General features: G+C 41.3%; 1 protein-coding gene across 6 annotated transcripts in view, besides 5 other annotated features; it reads right to left on the bottom strand.

Annotated features, from left to right (window-relative positions):
- The window catches only part of SNRK (SNF related kinase), a 64604-nt gene extending 56624 nt beyond the window's left edge, over nucleotides 1–7980 (bottom strand). For 3 of the 6 annotated variants that reach the window (NM_017719.5, NM_001100594.2, NM_001330750.2), the window contains exon 1: nucleotides 7845–7980. The gene's annotated coding sequence lies outside the window, so the exon portion shown is untranslated. Of the gene's footprint in view, nucleotides 1–4730; nucleotides 4781–7711 lie in introns of all 6 variants that reach the window. The other 3 variants (XM_005265245.4, XM_047448396.1, XM_047448397.1) reach the window with 3 other exon arrangements.
- Nucleotides 4807–5034: a silencer, noted in NCBI's record as "fragment chr3:43330978-43331205 (GRCh37/hg19 assembly coordinates)". NCBI's record gives its function as "represses an EF-1alpha promoter that drives an FKBP-Casp9 reporter gene in an ReSE screen in both phorbol 12-myristate 13-acetate-treated (for megakaryocytic differentiation) and untreated K562 erythroleukemia cells {active_cell/tissue: K562 | K562(+PMA)}" and the evidence as "EXISTENCE:reporter gene assay evidence [ECO:0000049][PMID:32094911]".
- Nucleotides 7446–7495: a silencer, noted in NCBI's record as "silent region_14255". NCBI's record gives its function as "represses an Ori minimal core promoter by ATAC-STARR-seq in GM12878 lymphoblastoid cells {active_cell/tissue: GM12878}" and the evidence as "EXISTENCE:reporter gene assay evidence [ECO:0000049][PMID:35858748]".
- Nucleotides 7736–8135: a silencer, noted in NCBI's record as "silent region_14254". NCBI's record gives its function as "represses an Ori minimal core promoter by ATAC-STARR-seq in GM12878 lymphoblastoid cells {active_cell/tissue: GM12878}" and the evidence as "EXISTENCE:reporter gene assay evidence [ECO:0000049][PMID:35858748]".
- Nucleotides 7736–8240: a biological region, named in NCBI's record as "H3K27ac hESC enhancer GRCh37_chr3:43327772-43328272".
- Nucleotides 7740–8240: an enhancer, noted in NCBI's record as "H3K27ac hESC enhancer chr3:43327772-43328272 (GRCh37/hg19 assembly coordinates)". NCBI's record gives its function as "activates a minimal SCP1, AML or CMV promoter by ChIP-STARR-seq in naive H9 embryonic stem cells {active_cell/tissue: H9 hESC(naive)}" and the evidence as "EXISTENCE:reporter gene assay evidence [ECO:0000049][PMID:30033119]".

Genomic DNA, 18772 nt, shown 5'->3' with positions numbered 1-18772 from the left:
AACAAGACACCACAAGTTAAAAAAAACCCTCATGTGACCAATCACAGTTTCTATTAGTTTTTGAGAGGAAATGCAGTAATAACTTTGTTTCATGCATAAAATTATTAAAAATGGGGTATAAAATTACCTTTAGCATATATGTATAGGTATAAATGAAACAGAAATTAATTTCATGTTTAGACTTGGGTCCCATCATTATGTATATTGCAAATGTTACAAAATCTGACAAAATTCAAAACACTTCTGATGCTAGGCATTTTAGACAAGAGATACTCAATCTGTCTCAAAAGCCTTAAAATAATTAATATCCTTGACTATAAACTTACTACTAGATTCATGTCTCAAAGAAAGGTGAGGACAAATATTTATATTCAACAATGTTCAGTGATATTTATACATGCAAAAGAAAATCAAATCATCTAAAGGTCTACAATAAGGAGATGGTTAAATAAAACACAATATACCCAACGTTAACAGTATGCTACCATATTTTGAGGCTACTACATTTCATGGGGAAAGTCTCACAACATAATGTTAAGTTTAAAAAAAATTGTATATACCAAACTTCACAGCATGTAATTCCAATCTTTTTTTTTTTCTTGAGACAGAGCCTCACTCTGTCACACAGGCTGGATTGCAGTGGCACAATCTTGGCTCAATGCAACCTCAACCTCCCAGGTTCAAACAATTCTCCTGCCTCAGCCTCCCAAGTAACTGGGATTACAGGAACATGCCACCACACCCAGCTAATTTTAATTTTTTTTTTTAGTAGAGATGGGGTTTTGCCATATTGGCTAGGCTGGTCTTGACCTCCTGACCTCAAGTGATTCACCTGCCTTGGCCTCCCGAGGTGCTGGGATTACAAGGGGTGAGCCACTATACCTGGCCTGTCCCAATCTTTCATAAAAAGCATATAATCTGTATGAATGTATATATTTTAAAAACTTAAAATGTTAAATTAGTAAGATTACAGGATATTTTTTCTCTTTATGCTTTTCTGTTCTTTTAAAATTTTTGACAGTGCATATGTGCTGCTTTCATACTCCAGGAAAGGCAGAGACTACTCAATTTTTGACTTTCTGTACATAATTATTCATTCCATTTACTTTTCCATTAAGAGATCTATGAAATACACCAATTTTTCTGAAAATACACTGCGTACTATACTATCTAATGCCTATTTATGTAATGTTAATAAACAAGGCATATTCAATGAAATATTTACTTCCTCTGAGAAAGAGGGTATGCAGCCCAACGTGGTGGCTCACACCTGTATGTAACCCCAGCACTTTGGGAAGCTGAGGCAGGCTGATCACCGGAGCTCAAGAATCCATGCTGTAGTGAGCCGAGATCAGCCACTGCACTCCATCCTGGGAGACAAAGCAAGAGCCTGTCTCAAAAAAAGAAGAAAAAGAAAAAGAAAAGAAAGGTATGCAACTGCTTCAGTCTGAATAACAGAAACACTAAGTCATTTTCATTAACAAATAATTTGAGCCTTAACTGTACAGGACACAACACAGTCCCTGTCCATTCAAATCTTAAAAATGATTTAGGAAAACAGGACCTACAGTTCAGCAAACCACCATGGCACATGTATATCTATGTAACAAACCTGCACATTCTGTACATGTATCCCAGTACTTAAAAAAAAGAAAAGAAAATAGTATCCCCATATAAAAAGAGAAATAATTACACAAGTGAGCCTAGGTGAGGCATGTCAGAGGAAGAATAGAGGACACTATAGATGGCAGGCTCACCAAGGACTGGTGCAGCCCACAGACCAGGGCTTATCCTTCAACAGGAGTAGAGGAACACCATTCCTGAAAGTGGGGTAAACAAGAAACAAAGTAAGAGTGCCTACAGCTGGCTGGCTTAGGAAAGAACACCAGTTTAGGTGAAGTGATGATTTGGGAGTGGAAGTCAGATAAATTTTAAGAGAGGCAGCTGATTCTGAAGAATACCTACAGCTGATTCTGAAGAATACCTACTGGCTCATCATTTAAGCAACCGTGCTGGACAAAACAAATGGAAAATTTGCCATACTAACTAATTCACCACATATCTGTGTTTGAATTATACTTAAGTTTAGTCAAAGCGTCATTAAAGAATAAAAAATGCACAGGAAAAGCTTCTCATCAAAGAGCCTCAATGAAAGAGGAAAATCCTTTACATATTAACATGAAAGCAACACAGAAATAAGCTTATTAGAGAATTCAAACAAATTTTAAAAGTTCATTGTTCACTACAAAGTTCCATAAAACACTACATTTTTGTTGTGGCTTAATAGATCTCTCTCGTTATCACCCATATACATACTACTAAAAATCTATTAGTAACCTAAGCAGGTTTATACAGAAACGAGTAAAGCAAAACCATGGATTTTTGTCTTATTTCTAATTTTTAAAATGTCTTTTGCTGCCTCAGTTGGCCATTAGAATTCCAGTTTTGTTTGAATGCAGGTCTCAAAATGAGAAAACAGATTTTAATTTCTAGGAATCTATGTATGTACTGCACTTTTTACATTATATCATTTAATTCCTTAAGAGTGATACCCATTTTACAAATGAAAAAGCAGGGCCAAGCCAATGAGGTTACAAACTCACTTTGTCCAGGTCCTACACCCAGTTAAGAGTTGCCTGGGGGCGAGGGAACATCAGAGGAGGAGCTAGGATAACAGTCCTAAGATTCCACATTTCAAAGTACCACATAGTTAACTTTTCTTATTATCTTCACCATAGAGGTACACTTCAGGAATGATCAGAATTCATTTATTAAGCACATATGCAGAGTGGCATGACAGCACAGTGGAAAGAGTACCACAGGATCTACAGCCCAACAAGTTACTCAACTTCTATGAAAAGGCATGTCTTGATAAAATAAAGATAATCACCACCTTGGACAGTTATTGTGAAAGTTAAATGGGATAATATATATTAGCAGGGTGTGAGTAGAATACAAATCACCTAAGGATTTTATCCCCCTAACTTTAGAACTGGCCTCCCTCCCATGAGATTACAGTATTTGAAAGGGGTTGTATATATAGTTCTCCATCTCATTTTCTTATCAGTAACCTCATCCTCTATTGGCCCAACAAACTGGCCCCTAAACACCTGTACTGGATACTAGGAAGGTCTCTGTCTCAACTTATTCACAGTCTCTTACGGGAACAGATACGCAAAAAGAGGTGTTCTTTTCTCCTAAATCTGCCTTGGAGAATGCCACAGACAGCATTCTGGAGAAATAAATTTTGTGTGTTTGAGCTAAGAACTGAAACTGGCAACGGTAAGGAAGAGGCTTTTCAGGAAAGAGGCCCAAGGAAGTTTAGTATGACTCAGACAACAATATATGCAGAGCGCAGGGGACAAGGTCAGGCATGTATTCCATATAATTCATCAATTTCTACTTCTTAGGTCTAGGCTAGCCCTTACCCATGCTCTAGGGCCCAGCTTAAAGGACGACTTCCTGACCATCCCCTTGCCCTCCCCAACTCCATGCACATACAGCTCCCTATACTCACTCACAGCACTGTGTCCTTTGCCATTATGACCCTTATCACAAATGTGAGGTCATATAATTATTTGTGTGACTGTGTGGTTAATAATCTGTGTCCCCCACTAAACTAAATGACAGGCTCAGTTCACATAAGGATCATGTTCATTTTATTTAGTTCTTTATCCCAGGGTCTGCCAAGTATAGCATCTACTCAAAATATACAGATATATTTTATTAAATGAACAAATGAAGGCTAGCATAAAGAGCCAAAAACAAGAGCTCAAGAAAAATCCTGAGCAGGAGAATGGCAATCAGAGATGATGGTTTAACAAATTACTCTGGCAGCAAAGTGAAGATCAGACTGAAAGGGCGAGAATAGAGCTAGAAGACAGGTAAGCAGACAACTGAAAATGTCTCCAGGTAAATTACTTAAAGACTTAAAAATGAGGGCAGCTGGTATATGGGCAGTGATGATAAGGATGTTGTGGAGGAGACACATTTTGGAAGTAGAATCCAAGAACTCAATGCACAGGAGGCTAAGCAAAGGGAGAAATCCAGAATGACTCTAGCGGAGAGTGGTAGCTGGTGATGCCATTCTCTCAGACTGGACTTTCAGGACAGGAACATCTACAACATGCTAGCAGAAAGTAGAGGATTTGCTTCTAGTTCTAAAATTGTATGATTGAAAAACAATTCAAATCCAACCCAGCTTTATTAGAAAGGGTGTGGTTTCCATAACAAGCTGATAAAATCAACAAATTAAAGATTAGATTTTTTTACCTTCTTCACCAAGACACTTCTTGGTACAGACTATGTACCCGGCATTACTTGGGTCTGATAATGTACAGATCAAAGAAGTAGTCTCTGCCTTCAAAGAGCTGACAGTATTATGGGTTTAAGAGAGATAACTGCAGGTCAACAATTAAGAAATTGAGGCCCAGTGAGGCTGCGATTTGACCACCGTTATGTTGTGTAATCCAGGTTCCTGGAGCATTTTTGTCATAACCTACATTAAACGGTCCAGGCAAATATTAGTCAAGAGGGTATGTGTTTAGATGTGCAGATAGACCTAATCTTGCTTTGGGCCTGAAGATACTCCAAAACTTAAAACATGTTAGATGAACAACTAATGATCTCTGAGTCTGAAGTAACTTTTGAGTAGCCACATGGCAGCAGACTAGGGGGCATAATAGCAAAAGGAAAGGGAAAGAGGCCTGATTTGCCATGGAACAGCCTACCTGAGCAGAGGCCAAATGCTGGGGATGCCAAAGCAGACTCTCAGGAGGCTCTGGAAGTGACAGCAGAGAAATAAATGTTCAGGGAGGGCAAAGCAGGAATCCTCTTTAGACAGGTTCCTTCCCTACCACCAGCAAGAAATGGTTTCCCATGAGACACAGAGCCACAACCCAAAGCAGATGTGCAGAAAAGCAGATGAGGATCAATGACGTAGCTCTGGATTATCCAGAGCAGACAACACAGTTCCAGTGCTCACTCGTGAGGCCATTAAATCTGAGGAATTTTATACCAGCTCTTCCCAAAGTTAAAACAAAACAAAACAAACACCTCACCAAAATCCTTCTCCTCCATCCCCCAAAGCAACTGCCCCATTTCCCTCCTTCCTTTTCAAATGCTTTAAGGAAAGAACAGTTGCATTGTCTCAGCCTTCTCAACTCCCTTTCACCCACTTGGATCTATGTTCTTCTCCCACCCACCACTTGACCTTGTCTTCTCACCCTCCCTGAACCCCCTGAGCCTTTTCCCTTTTTCTCTGCCTGGGAATTCTTCCTATTCTTCAAGACCAGTTTAACCATCACCTCCTCTGTGAAGCATTTCCATGTCAGGTTGTTCACTGCCGCCATCCTTGTGCTTCTGCAGGTTTTTCCCTATGCCTCACCACAGTTCATCTGTTCGTACTGTTACTGTTTACCTTGGTGTTCCCCAGTAGCTTCTAAGAACCTACAGTCAGGAACTGGTTTTTATTCACTTTTCTACTGCTGCCCTCCCTCTACCCTAGGGCCACCAAAAGAGACACACAAACATTCCATGAATAAATGATCAAAGGTTAAGTTTATCTTCAGAACTGCTAGGATCCACTCAATTTTTCCACCTAAGTTGTTCTAAGTTTACCTGCACATAGATACACACTGGGAAATACCTAAATTCTGAATAACAGTTTTCTTACTAAAGCATCTTAGTTATAAACACTCTATCTTTAAGCAAACAGCTGGGATGCAGTTACATTAAGTCTAGAGTTTCTCATCTACGGTTTTTAATTCCTAAGATTCTGGCCTATGGAAAGTTCATTTGTACCCTTTTCTTCTTGGGCAGTGTAAAGAGCTCTTAGGATTAGACAAGCTGCTACAGGGAAGAAATCATGTCTTATTTATACCAGTACTTAGAACCATGGCTGCTCAGTATCTCCAGAAATAAATATTTTTCTATTTGGTTTCACTTTCTGTATGAGGGAAGTACTCACAGTGAAGTTCAGATGAACAGTATTTCCTGTGACCAGTAAAAATATCACGAAAGCCCTTCAATTTTAATAAGGACATTTAAAAGCCTTTCTTTTAGGATTATGTGATTAAATCTAAACCATAAAGACCCAACCTATACTTCTGGTCTAGAAAAATAAAATTAGTACAACTTCTGAGTTCTAGCATGTTTTAGACTAATGGATCTTACTGCAGTAAAACAGAAAAAAATACTCAGAATTATTAAAAAATACGGTGAGAGTAATTTTTGTGCACAAAATGAACAATTAAAAACTGATTATACAAATTTAAAAAAAAATTGAAAGGTGGCACTGAAAGTTTCCTGCCTGAAAAGCCTTCAGGATGAGAGTATTATAAAAAGTTAGCACTGTGCACCTGACTTTCTACACTGCTTCAATATGTGACCTTGGAAATGTCATGTAATTTCTCTCATTTCTAGTTCTGTAAAATGGGAATGTCCACCTGTTCTCCTCTCAAGGACAATTACACAGATAATCAGATTAAAAATTTGGTATTTGGTGTTCTTTAAAAAAAGAAACTTGTCTAATTAGTATGCTTTAATCATCACTTGTACAGTACATTCCTCTTCAAGAATCCAATTCCAAGAGAAATATTTAAGCAGACGTTGAGGACAGATTTCCTTAAGGGAATTATTTTATAAATCTGGAAAGCAATGTAACGAGATTATAAATTAACAAACTGATTACATAAGCCTTGACAACCCGGGCTTTAAAGTACACTGCTGTATATATTCTGATAAGTTAAAGACTGGTTTGGGACATAGTGCTCCAATCCCATACAAGGAGCCCAAACTCAGGCATTTCATGTTTGATAGGAACTTGGTGGAGATTCAACAGGATGTCCAACACTTGCAAGCCATGCTTCACCTTAAAACCTGACAAAATGTTTAAGGCATTAAGTCAACTTTACCACGGTTCCTAAGACTTTAAGAATGCACATAATTAAAGGGAAGGGGGGTGGAAAGTAACATGACAGTTTGAAAGGTCCCATATCCTCAGACCTCTATAGATTTAGGAACTCCACTGCTAAATTCTCCCCAAAGCCTGAAACTCCCTATGAAACTACTGGACTGTATGCGATCCAACAGTTACAAATAGCACAGCTCCAAGAACCCCGAAGATAAAAGGCTGCCACTTTCCTGCAACCCAAGTCCAAGTAAAAGGCAGGAAGGTCCCTGTAAAATGGACCAGAAAGAAATCAACAGGCGATGACTATGGAAAAGAACGTAGATTTCCCAGTCTCCCAGTCTGCAAAAATTCTAGCTCTCCCTCGGGAATGGCACTGCTCCTCTTTCCTTACCCCTTTGCCCTTTCTCTACAGACAACATCCCCACTCTATTGTAAAGCAGTTTGACCACGGAACCCTTTTGCTGAGGCCGGATTTCTACAGTCTTCTGAAAGGGGAAAACGCATTCAAAGAACACACACCCTACCAAGCGCCCAGGGCGCGGGGCCCCGCGGGCGCCGCACTCGGCCCGCTCCGGGGCGGGGCGCGGGGATGCGGGCGCCTTCCGAGGTGCCGCAATCCCGCCGCGGCCGCAAGGGCAGGGCCTCCAGGCGACCGCGGCCGCCGCCGCAGTGACGGCTCCCGCCGGGCCCCGCCGCCGCCCCGCCGCCAGGCCGCGCCGCGGGGTCCGGGCCACCGCAGCCCGGGCCCCGCGTCCTCCCGGGCCGCGCGCTGCGGCCGGCGCCGAGAGCGCAACTTACTTTCCGCCTGCGGCGAGCGCCCCGGCCCGGGCGCCCAGCCCGGCAACAGCGGAGGCTACTGAGGCGGCGGAGGCCGGCCCCGCACCCCTGCCTACGGCCGCCGCGCCCCGCCGCGCTCCGCGCTCGCCCCTACCTCAGCCGGCAGGCGAGCGTCCGTCCGCAGCGGCCGCGGCGCCGACAACTCCCTCCCGGCCGCCGAAACCCCGCACCCAGCGCTAATCATAATACCGAGCGGGCTGCCGGCCGCGGGGAGGGGGTGCCGGGTAGCTGCGCCTGCGCGGGCTGCGCGTCACTGTGACGTCAGCGCTGGGGCGGGGCCGCGGGAAGGGCAGGGCGGGGCGGCGCGCACCTGCGGCCGGCGCGCGGGCTGCTGGAGGGCATCCTGGCGGCTTTCTGACCCCGGCGAGTCGGGGCTGAGGCGGCTGGCGGGACAAAGCGGGCAAGGCGCCCAAGGAGGATGGAGGACGGGGGAGGAGGAAGCACCAGGGACACGGAACAATGGCCGGGAAAAAGTAGCGCGAGCTGTCAGGGGAAATCGGAGGGAAGGGACCGCGTCTGTACAGGACTGCGTCTTGGCGGCAGGGGGCAGGGAGCCGCACGCGCTTTACTCTTTGGTTCCCGCCCAGGTTTAAACAAGGATAAAAAAATTGTAAAAATACATATACATACACACATGCACATATGTATATACATATATATACATAATATGATTTTTTTCTCTGTAGTTTCTTCTCCCTGGGACTCTAATTTGAAAAAATTCGGTTGATTTTGTTGTTATTTAAGCAAAATTGGAAAAGCCCAACATCTGAATGCAGTGCTGGCCTTAAAGGTCAGCGGGAGACACAGGCCCTGCTAGGCAGCCTCTGGCAACAGCATAGAAAAGTAAACGGTCGTGGGGACACATCAAAGCACGTGAAGTCAGAGATTCAAAACACGCCGGGCATTAACCATAGCCCTTGATGGTTCAGTGGTATGGTCGCCAGGCCAGGTTGCTCTGGAAGGGAGCTTAGGGATGGCCGCAGAGGGTGGGAGGGGACTCCCGACTCCCACCCCTGGAAGCATGGCATGCAATAGAGACCAGCTCTTCAGGGTTCCTGGAAGGGAACACCAACAAACCAGACGCCAGATTTCTTCAACCTGCTTTTCCCCTTCTGTTCCCACGTTGTGTCCACCCTTCCCCAAGAAAGGACCCCTAGCAAGGAAGGACACAAGCCAGAAGAGCTGCGGAGATGCTGCAGGCTTGGTTGAATTGACTGGACTGCGAAGAGAAATCTAGATGGTTTTAGCAAATCTCTGTTGACCTGCAAATGTCAAAAGCCTTTTAGCTTCTATGCATCAACTTTGCATGTCTGAAGATGATTGGGAAGCAGGAGTGGATTGTTGGGAGGTGCAAACAGTTTGATTCTTAGGGTAATAACATAGGGTTTTCTGATCAAGGGGACTCCCAGTTACCCTAATACCCTTGCATCAGGTGGTGGGAGAGCACCAGGGAAAGCCTCAGATTAGGCCTCTGCGCCTTAGGGTCCCACCTGGGATCACTCTGACCTGAAAAGACCATAAAAGAGTCATCTCATTTTGACATGGAAATCGTAACTGTAGCAGCATATTAAGCAAGAGCTCCTAACTTGGATTTGTAGAATTTGTCCTTTTGTTGCTAGAAATCAGGAAGACCATGCACTTTTCTCCTCAGGGAGATATCACTATTCAGGGAACTCTGTAGCCAACTAAAGGGAGAAAATACCACTGTAATGGTCTCCCAAGGGATTTCCAGTGGTCGAAGGCCTCCACCCCTGGGTCTGTAGTCCCTGAGTTATATCAGTAACTACAGAACAATGACGATAATATATAAGCTCTTGAAAAATAAAGTATTTATATTGCTGCTGTTTAACTAGGTTTTGAATAAATTTTCTAAGGAAAACAAGGCATAAAAGAGCAAAACAAATGAAAAAGGGCAAAATAATAAATTGATTTAAATGAAGTTGGCTGCAATACTCTTCTAGAGAAGGACGCAGTACTGGCCACATGGTAAATCATTTATTCATCCCCAGTATTTCTTGGGTAGCTGAAGTGCTGCTGGCAAGAATATGACCCAGTTTTGGTTCCACACCATAAATGTGGTGACATGATTTGATTATGCTTCGGCAATATTTTAAGATATTCAAGTACAAATTAATAGTATTACTTAAGTTGGAATTTAAGCAAATGTGCTTATAGTTAATGAAGAAACTCCTTTTCCACTCTGCCCTGGGGCTTTCTCCAACACACTGCTTTTTTAATGTTGGGTCTTTTTATGGACCTGTAAGAAGCTTTAATTAGATGTACAGCATTCTACAAAACGACAAGATGAAGCATGCTTGCTTGTATTACAGTCTCTGTGATTCAGATCTCAAAAATAACATAATGCCACCAGTTTAAGGAAGATGTTGTTTATTGGAAGGAAACCAGGGAGGTGCCACAAATTAGATCAAAATGTGAAAATTGAGCAGACTGATGAAAGAATTGTCATTTTCATCTTTGGAACCCCAAAAGCAGCATATGTAACAAGGTTATCTTCTCTGGATATTGTTAGTTTTTGTAATTTATTTCAAATTTTAAAATAAATGTATTTAAAACAACAGACATTGAATATTCATACACAGTTCAATTTTGAGTTGTGACATTTTATTTAACAACATTCCCTTTTACATATTTAACTAGTTATTTCATACATTTATACTTGTGCATTTCTAGATCCTGGCTTCACCCCAGTAGGATCAAAATAATACTTAATTGGAATGACCTAAAGAGTTCCTCAAAGACTCCTTCACCACCCTATGGGCATCAGTTAACATCTTCTACTCTTTTATCTCAGATGTCAGTTAAGGTCCTGTGTGTGTGTGTGTGTGTGTGTGTGTGTGTGTGTGTGTGTGAGAGAGAGATATTTCTGATAGTTGCAAACAAGAATTGGAAATGCCAGTCCTTAACTCTGCTTGTTTGCAACCAGTGAACTAGAAGATAGGACAGACATTGACATTTAACCCCATCTCTACTGCTAAGAGCAAGATGGCTTTGGGAAAGTTGCATAACCTTCTATATGTTTCTTCTGTAAAATGAGAAAGACAGTGATGATAATAATACCTTTCTTATAAGTTTGATGTAAAGCAGTGGTTCTCAAAGTGTGCTCCCTGGACTAGCAGCATCAGCTTCTCCTGGGAACTGGATTGAAATGCAGATTTTCCAGTTCCACCTCAGACCTACTGAATCAGAAACTCTGATTTCTCTGTTTTAAGACTTGCAGGTGATTCTGAGACAGATTAGAGTTTGAGAACCAGAGTTGATGAGATTGAGTTTATATAAAGTATTAGAACAAAGGCTGGCATATAGTAAGCAGTATATTAATGAATATTTTTTAATGTGTGCAATATGATCTTGCCAAAATATGCAAAGTCTAATTTAGGCCAAAAGAAGCATGTCCATGTTGTTCTTTCAGCAAATAAATCCTGATAAATCCCTTATCTAAAAACGTCAATACAGCCTACCAAGCCCTTCCTGATCTGGTCCCTGGCTTCCTCTCCTGCACTTTCTTTTCTGCATGTGTACCCTGTCTCCAGCCTTCCCAGTTCTCACAAAGAGAATTGACTTTTCACAATTCCCAGTCTTTGCCTATTCTGTTCCTTCTGTCTGGAAATGTCACCTACTCCTTTTCTCCACTTACTACACCCGCAGTTTCCTGAATTCCTACTTACCCATCAAAATCCAGCTCCCATGTCACATCCTCTGTGCTACTCCTAACTGTCCCACTCCAGTCAGAGCCAGGAGTTCTCTGGGACCCCCATACCCTCCCACTCATAGTATCATACAGTTTTGTAATTTTATTGTTCCATTTTCTCCCTTTGGATCTTAAACTCTGGGGGGACAAGGATTGTATTTTATTTAAATTTCTATTCCTGCCACCTAGCACTGAGGTTGCAAATAGGCAGTCCCAGGGCTTTTCACCCACAGACTTGTGGCATTGTTTTTCCCCACATAGGTTCTTTAAGAATTTGAATTAGTTGAGAACATTTTTAAATTGGGAGATTTAATACTTTTGTTTAACAGTTTCATTGAATATAATCTGCATACCATAAAATTCACCAATAATAGGTGGACGATTCAATGGTTTTTTAGTAAATTTATAAAGTTATGCAGCCATCGCCCCAATCCACTTTTGAAATATTTTCATCTGGCTTGGGAGAGGTGGCTCACGCCTGTAATCCCAAAACTATGGGAGGCAGAGGTGGGAGGATCACTTCAGGCCAGGAATTCAAGACCAACCTGAGCAACACAGAGAGACTCCGTCTTCACAAAAATAATGAAAAACATTAGCTGGGCATGGGGGCATGCACCTTGGTCCCAGCTACTTGGGAAGCTAAGGTGGGAGGATCACCTGAGCCCAGGAGGGCGAGGCTGCGGTGAGCTGGAATCTCACCCCTGCACTCCAGCTTGGGCAACAGAGTGAGACCCTATCTCAAAAAAAAATTTTTTTATCAACCCCAAAAGGTCTCTCCTGTGCACATGCAATCAATCCCACTCCAGCTTTCAGCCCTCAACACATACTATCTGTTATCTGTCTCTATAGATTTGTGTTTTTCTAGAAATGTCATATAAATGGAATCATACCATGTGTACTCTTTTGTGTCTGACTTCTTTCATGTAGCATAATGTTTTTCCATCTAGCATGTATCAGTAGTTCATTCCTTTTTGTTGCTGAACAGTATTCCTTTATATGGATATATTAGATTTTCTTTATCCATCCAAGTGATAAACATTTCATTTATTTCCAGATTTTTGCTATTATGGATACTGTTGCTATGACTGTTTAAACTCTTAGTGGGGACATATTTTCGTTTCTCTTGGGTACATTGCTGAGTGGAATTTTGGGGTCATGCAATAACTCTATGCTTAACATTTTAAGAAACTGACAAATTATTTCTGAAATGACTGTACCACTTTACATTACCACCAACAGTGTATGAGGGTTCTAGTTTTTCCACATCCCTGCCAACACTTGGCACTGTTAGACTTTTAGATTATTACCATTCTAATACATATATAGTGGTATCTCATGATTTTCATTTGCATTTCCCTAATGACTAATGATGTTCCTTAGCTTTCCATGTGATTTTTGGTCATTCATATATCTTCTTTGATAAAAGGGCTTTTCAAATCTTTTGCCCATTTTTAATTGTGTTGTTTGTCTTATTGTGTTGTAAGAATTTTTTATGCTTTTTGGATATAAGTCCTTAATTAGAAATGTGATTTGCAAATATTTTCTCCCAGGCTGTGGCCTGTCTTTTCATTTTTAAAATGATGTGTTTAGAAGTTATAAAGTTCTGAATTTTGGTGAATTCCAATTTGTCCAATTTTTCTTTCATGATCCTTGGTTTGGTGTCATATCTAAGAATTTTGCTTAAGCAAAGGTCACAAAGATTTTCTTCTCTGGTCTTTTCAAGTTTTATAGTTTTAAGTTTGGCCTTTAAGTCTATGATCCATTTTGAATTTATTTTTACTCATGATGAGAGGTTTAGAGGCTATGGGGCTTTTTTTTTCATTTGATTTTTGCTTATGGATATTTAATCATCCCAGAATCATTTGTTGAAAACGGTATCCTTTCCCAATTAAATTGCCTTGGCAATTTGTTGGCAATCAACTTAATGTAAGGATTTTCTATTCATTTTTGTTGATCTATATGGCTATTCTTACACCATTATGATCCAGTCTTGACTACTATTGTTATATAGTAAGTTTTGAAAACGAGTAGAGTAAGTCTTCCATCTATAGTGTTCTGTTTCAAGATTGTTTTACTATTCTAGGCACGTTGCATTTCCGTGTAAACTATAGGGTCAGCTTGTCAATTTCCACAAAAAAAATTGTTGACTTTTTGAAATTTTGATGAAGATTATGTTATATGAATAGATCAATCTGGGGAGAATTATCATCTTAACAATAATGAGTCTTTCAATTCATGAATATGATATGTATAGTCAGTTTCTTTTCTCTTTTTTTTTTTGAGACAGAATTTCACTCTTCTTGCCCAGGCTGCAGTGCAATGGCACAATCTCGGCTCACTGCAACTCTGTCTCCCAGGTTCCAGCGATTCTCCTGCCTAGGCCTCCTGAGTAGCTGGGATTACAGGCGCTTGCCACCACGCCCAGCTAATATTTTGTATTTTTAGTAGAGTCGGGATTTCACCACGTTAGCCAGGCTGGTCTTGACCTCAGGTGATCCACCTGCCTTGGCCTCCCAAAGTGTTTGGATTACAGGCATGAGCTACCGTGCCTGGCCAGTCAGTTTCTAATAGTTGCTTTTTCCCCCTCATCTTGAGTCCCATTTTCCTGTTTCTTTCCATGTCTCGTATTTTTTATTAAAAACTGGACATTTAAAATTATATGTTGTAGCAGCTCTGGATTCTGATTTTCTCCTTTGAAAGCTTTCCCCCCCTTTCATTAGTAGCTTGCCTGAACTTAATCCGCAGAATCTTCCCTCATGATGTGCAGCACATGATTCTGCTCAGTTGTTTTGTTCTTAGTTATATTTTTTAGTCTGGCTTCCCCATGGTTGCCTCTGTATCTGCATATCTTAATGGTCAGCCAATGATCGGGCAGACATTGTGTCCAAACCCATAAGGTTTCCACACTTTGCTGATGAATCTGTGCATGAATTGAAAAGCAAGGTAGTTTTCAAGCCTACTTCAGCTTTTACTTTCTGCTAAACCCTTTCAGGTCTCCCTGGCACATGTGCTTACCTTCCCAGTCAGCCAGGGATGTGAGGAAAGCTTATCTATCTAGTCCTTCAATGGATCTCTTCTTTACATGCTCTTCCCTTTACATTTTTTCTGGTTCATTCCTTACACCAAGGATTGCAGGCTCAGACTAGCCAAGCTATGTATTTTCCCCCTCTGTTTCCTACCATGTTTACTACTTTTACAGATAATACCACAGAGCGTGGGTTTGTGCCCTCCACTCCAAATCAAATGAGCTGTCTTTCAAAACAACACTACTGGTTTTCATAGCCAGTCATCCCCTGGTAAACACTACCTCACCAACTGAGCTGAGGGTTGGACTGGGGAATGGAATACATACTCCCACTATTAATATCTGAAGTTTTAGAATTTCTTCATGAACGAATATTTCTCTTTTTTCGTTTTTCGGTTTTGTTTTGTTCATTTGATTTTAGTCTATTTCTAGTGTTCTGAAATCATTGTTTTTGCCAGGCACTGTGGCTTACGCTGTAATCCATGCAACTTGGAAGGCTGAGGTGGGAGAATTACTTGAGGCCAGGAGGTTGAGATCAGCTTGGGCAACATAGTGAAATCCCATCTCTACAAAAATTAAAATGTTTAAAAATTTTCAAAAAAGAAATCATTGCTTTTGAAAACTGTGATAGGCAGAATTCTAAGAATGAACCTCAATGACCCTTGCCCTTGTATAATCCCTACCCCTCTGAGTCTGGGTGAAACCTGTATATATGATGAGATGTCACTCCTGTGATATGTAATACTGGCACACCTCACAGATATTGCAGGTTCAGTTCCAGACCACCTCATTAAAGTGAGTCACACAGCTTTTTTTGTTTCCCAGTGCATATGAAGTTATGTTTACACTCTACTGTAGTCTATTAAGTGTATATCTTTAAAAATGTACACACCTTAATTTAAAAACACTTTATGCTAAAAACTGCTAACAATCATCTGAGCCTTCAGTGAGTTATAATCTTTTTGCTGATGGAGGGTCTTGCCTCGATGTTGATGGCTGCTTACTGATCAGGTTGGTGGTTGCTGAAGGTTGGGGTGGCTGTGGCTATTTCTTAAAATAAGACAACAATGAAGTTTGTCTCTTCAGTTGACTCGTGCTTTCACGAAAGAATTCTCTGCAGCAGGTGATGACGTTTGAGTGTGTGATACCCACAGTCGGACTTCTTTCAAAATTGGAATCAATTCTCTCAGACTCTGCTGCTGCTTTATTAACTAAGTTTATGTTGTATTCTAATCCTTTGTTGTCATTTCAACAATATTAACAGCATCTTCATCAGGGTAGGTTCCATTTTAAGAAACCACTTCTTTGCTCATCCATAAGAAGCAACTCCTCATCCATTCAAGTTTTATCTTGATATTATAGCAATTCAGTCACTTCTTCAGGCTCTACTTCTGATTCTAATTCTCTGGCTGTGTCCACCATATTTGAAGAGACTTCCTCCACTGAAGTCTCTAACCCCTCAAAGTCATCCATGAGGGTTGGAATCGACTTCTCACAAACTCCTGTTAATGTCTATATTTTGACCTCCTCCCATGAATCGTGAATATTCTTCTTGTTTTGTTTTGTTTTGTTTTGTTTTGTTTTGGTACAGGGTCTTGCTCTGGTTACCCAGGCTGGAGTGCATTGGTGCAAACAAGGCTCACTGTAGCCTTGATCTCTTAGGCTCAAGTGATCCTCTTGCCTTAGCCTCTCGAGTAGTTGGGACCACAGGCTCGTGCCACCACATCTTGCAATTTTAAAAAAATTTTTGTAGAGATGGGGTCTTGCCCTGTTGCCCAGGCTGGTCTCAAACTCCTGGGCTCATGTGATCCTCCCTCCTTGGCCTCCAAAATGCTGGGATTACAGGCATGAGCCACTGTGCTTGACCATATGAATGTTCTTAATGATATCTAAAATAGTGAATCCTTTCTAGAAGGTTTTCAATTTCCACCAGAGAAATCACTATCTATGGCAGCTATAGCCTTACAAAATATTCTTTTTCTTTCTTTCTTTCTTTCTTTCTTTCTTTCTTTCTTTCTTTCTTTCTTTCCTTCCTTCCTTCCTTCCTTCCTTCCTTCCTTCCTTCTCCTCCTCCTCCTCCTCCTTCTTCTTCTTTTTTGAGGGGAGACAGAGTCTTGCTCTGTCAACCAGGCTGGAGTGCAGTGGCATGATCATGGCTCACTGCAGCCTTGGCCTCCCAGACTTAAGAGATCCTCCTGCCTCAGCCTCCTGAATAACTGGGACCACAGGCATGTGCCACCATGCCCCGCTAATTTTTATTTTTCATGCTGATGAGGTCTCCCTATATTGCCCAGGCTCCATAATATACTTCTTAAACAATAAGACTTGAAAGTAAAAATTACTCCTTGATCCATGGGTTGCACAATGGATGATGTCTATGGCAATTTCTTCCAATGAAAGGCTGTCTCTTCTATATTGCAAATCTGTTGTTAAAGTAACCAGCTTCATCAATAATCTTTGCCAAATCTTCTAACTTGCTGTAGCTTCTCCATCAGCACTTGTACTGTTATGGAGATGGCTTAAAAAAAAAAAACCTCATGAACCAACTTCTGGTAGCTTCAAACTTCCTTCTGCAGCTTCCTCACCTGTCTCGGCCTTCATAGAATTGAAGAGAGTTAGGACCTTGCTCTGAATTAGGCTTTGACTTAAGGGAATATTGTGGCTGGTTTGATCTTCTATCCAGACCACTAAAACTTTGACCATATCAGCAATAAAGCTGTTTCAGTTTCTTATCATGCATGCATTCACTGGAGTAGCACTTTTAATTTCCTTCAATAACTTTTCCTTTGCAGTCACAACTTGGCTAACTGTTAGGTGCAAGAAGCCTAGCTTTCAGCCTGTCTCAGCTTGATATGCCTTCCTCACTAAGCTTAATCATTTCTAGCTTTTGATTTAAAGTGAGAGATTGCCGCTCTTCCTTTCACTTGAACACTTAGGAGACCACTGTAGGGTTATTAATTGGCCTAATTTCAGTATCGTTCTTTCTCAGGGAATAGGGAAGCCTGAGGAAAGGGAGAGAGATGGGGGAATGGTTAGTTGGTAGAGCAGTCAGAAGACACACATTTATTAAGTTTGCTGTCTACTACAGGCACTGTGTGTGGTGCCCCCAAACAATTACAATAGTAACATCAAGATCACTGACCATAGATCACCATAAAAGATAAAGTAATAATGGCAAAGTTTGAAACATCATGAGAATTACGAAAATGTGACACAGAGACACAAGGTGAGCACGTGCTATTGGAAAAATGGTGCCAATAGAGTTGGTAGATGCAGGGTTGCCACAAACCTTCAACTTATGAAAAACCTATTATGGGTTGCCACAAACCTTCAATTTGTAAGAAACCTATTGTCTGTGAAGTGCAATCAAGTGAAACACAATAAAATGAGGTACGCCTGTATTTTATATGAAAAGGGAGATTATCTGATGGGCCTAATATAATCATGTGAGCTCCTTAGAATCAGAGAATTTCTCCTGCTAGTGGGAAGAAGGGGGAAGTCAGAGATTCAAAGCATGAGAAGAATTAAAAATGTTCCATGGCTGGCTTTGAAGATGGAGGGCCATATACAAAGGACCAGAGTGCAGCTTCTAGAAGCTAAGTGATTCCCAGCCAACAGCCAGGAAACAGGACATCAGTCCTATAGCTGCAAGAAATTGAATTCTTCCAACAACCTGAATGAAGCAATTTCTTTCTCAGAACATCCAGATAAGAGACCAGTCTGGCCAACACTTTGAATTCAGTCTTGTGAAGCACTAGGCAGAGGACCCAGTAGAGTCTACCTGGAATTTTGGCCTACAGAAAATGAGGTAATGAGTGTGTGTTATTGAAGCTGCTGTTTGTGGTAATTTGTTATGCAGCAATAGAAAACTAATATGACAACTTTGTCCAGTTTGACTCTGCCATAGCTAGAAGTCCTACCTCCTGGCAGAGTTAATTTTGAAAAATAAAATCAAGATTTCTGGCTTCTCTTGAAAAATTGGAAGATCTTGCAACTTGAGATTTGAATTTCTAACATCTGCTAGAGCTGAGCAGCACTCTCCCTGTGCTCCTTGTTTACCAGGGTCTAGGGCCTCCAGTTCACCGCTTTTGTCCTTCACTGCAGGCCTACATCTCCAATTATAGGCCTGGCTGATATGGTTTGGATTTGTGTCCCTACCCAAACCCAAATTTCATGTCGAATTGTAATCCCCAAAGTTGGAGGTGGGGCCTGGTAGGAGGTGATTGGATCACGGGGGCGGTTTCTAATGGTTCAGCACATCCCCATAGTCCTGTTCTCCTGACAGAGT

The sequence above is a fragment of the Homo sapiens genome, chromosome 3, assembly GCF_000001405.40.
Source record: "Homo sapiens chromosome 3, GRCh38.p14 Primary Assembly".
In the NCBI taxonomy this organism is placed as follows: domain Eukaryota; kingdom Metazoa; phylum Chordata; class Mammalia; order Primates; family Hominidae; genus Homo; species Homo sapiens.
This window is presented reverse-complemented; position numbering and strand designations above follow the sequence as displayed.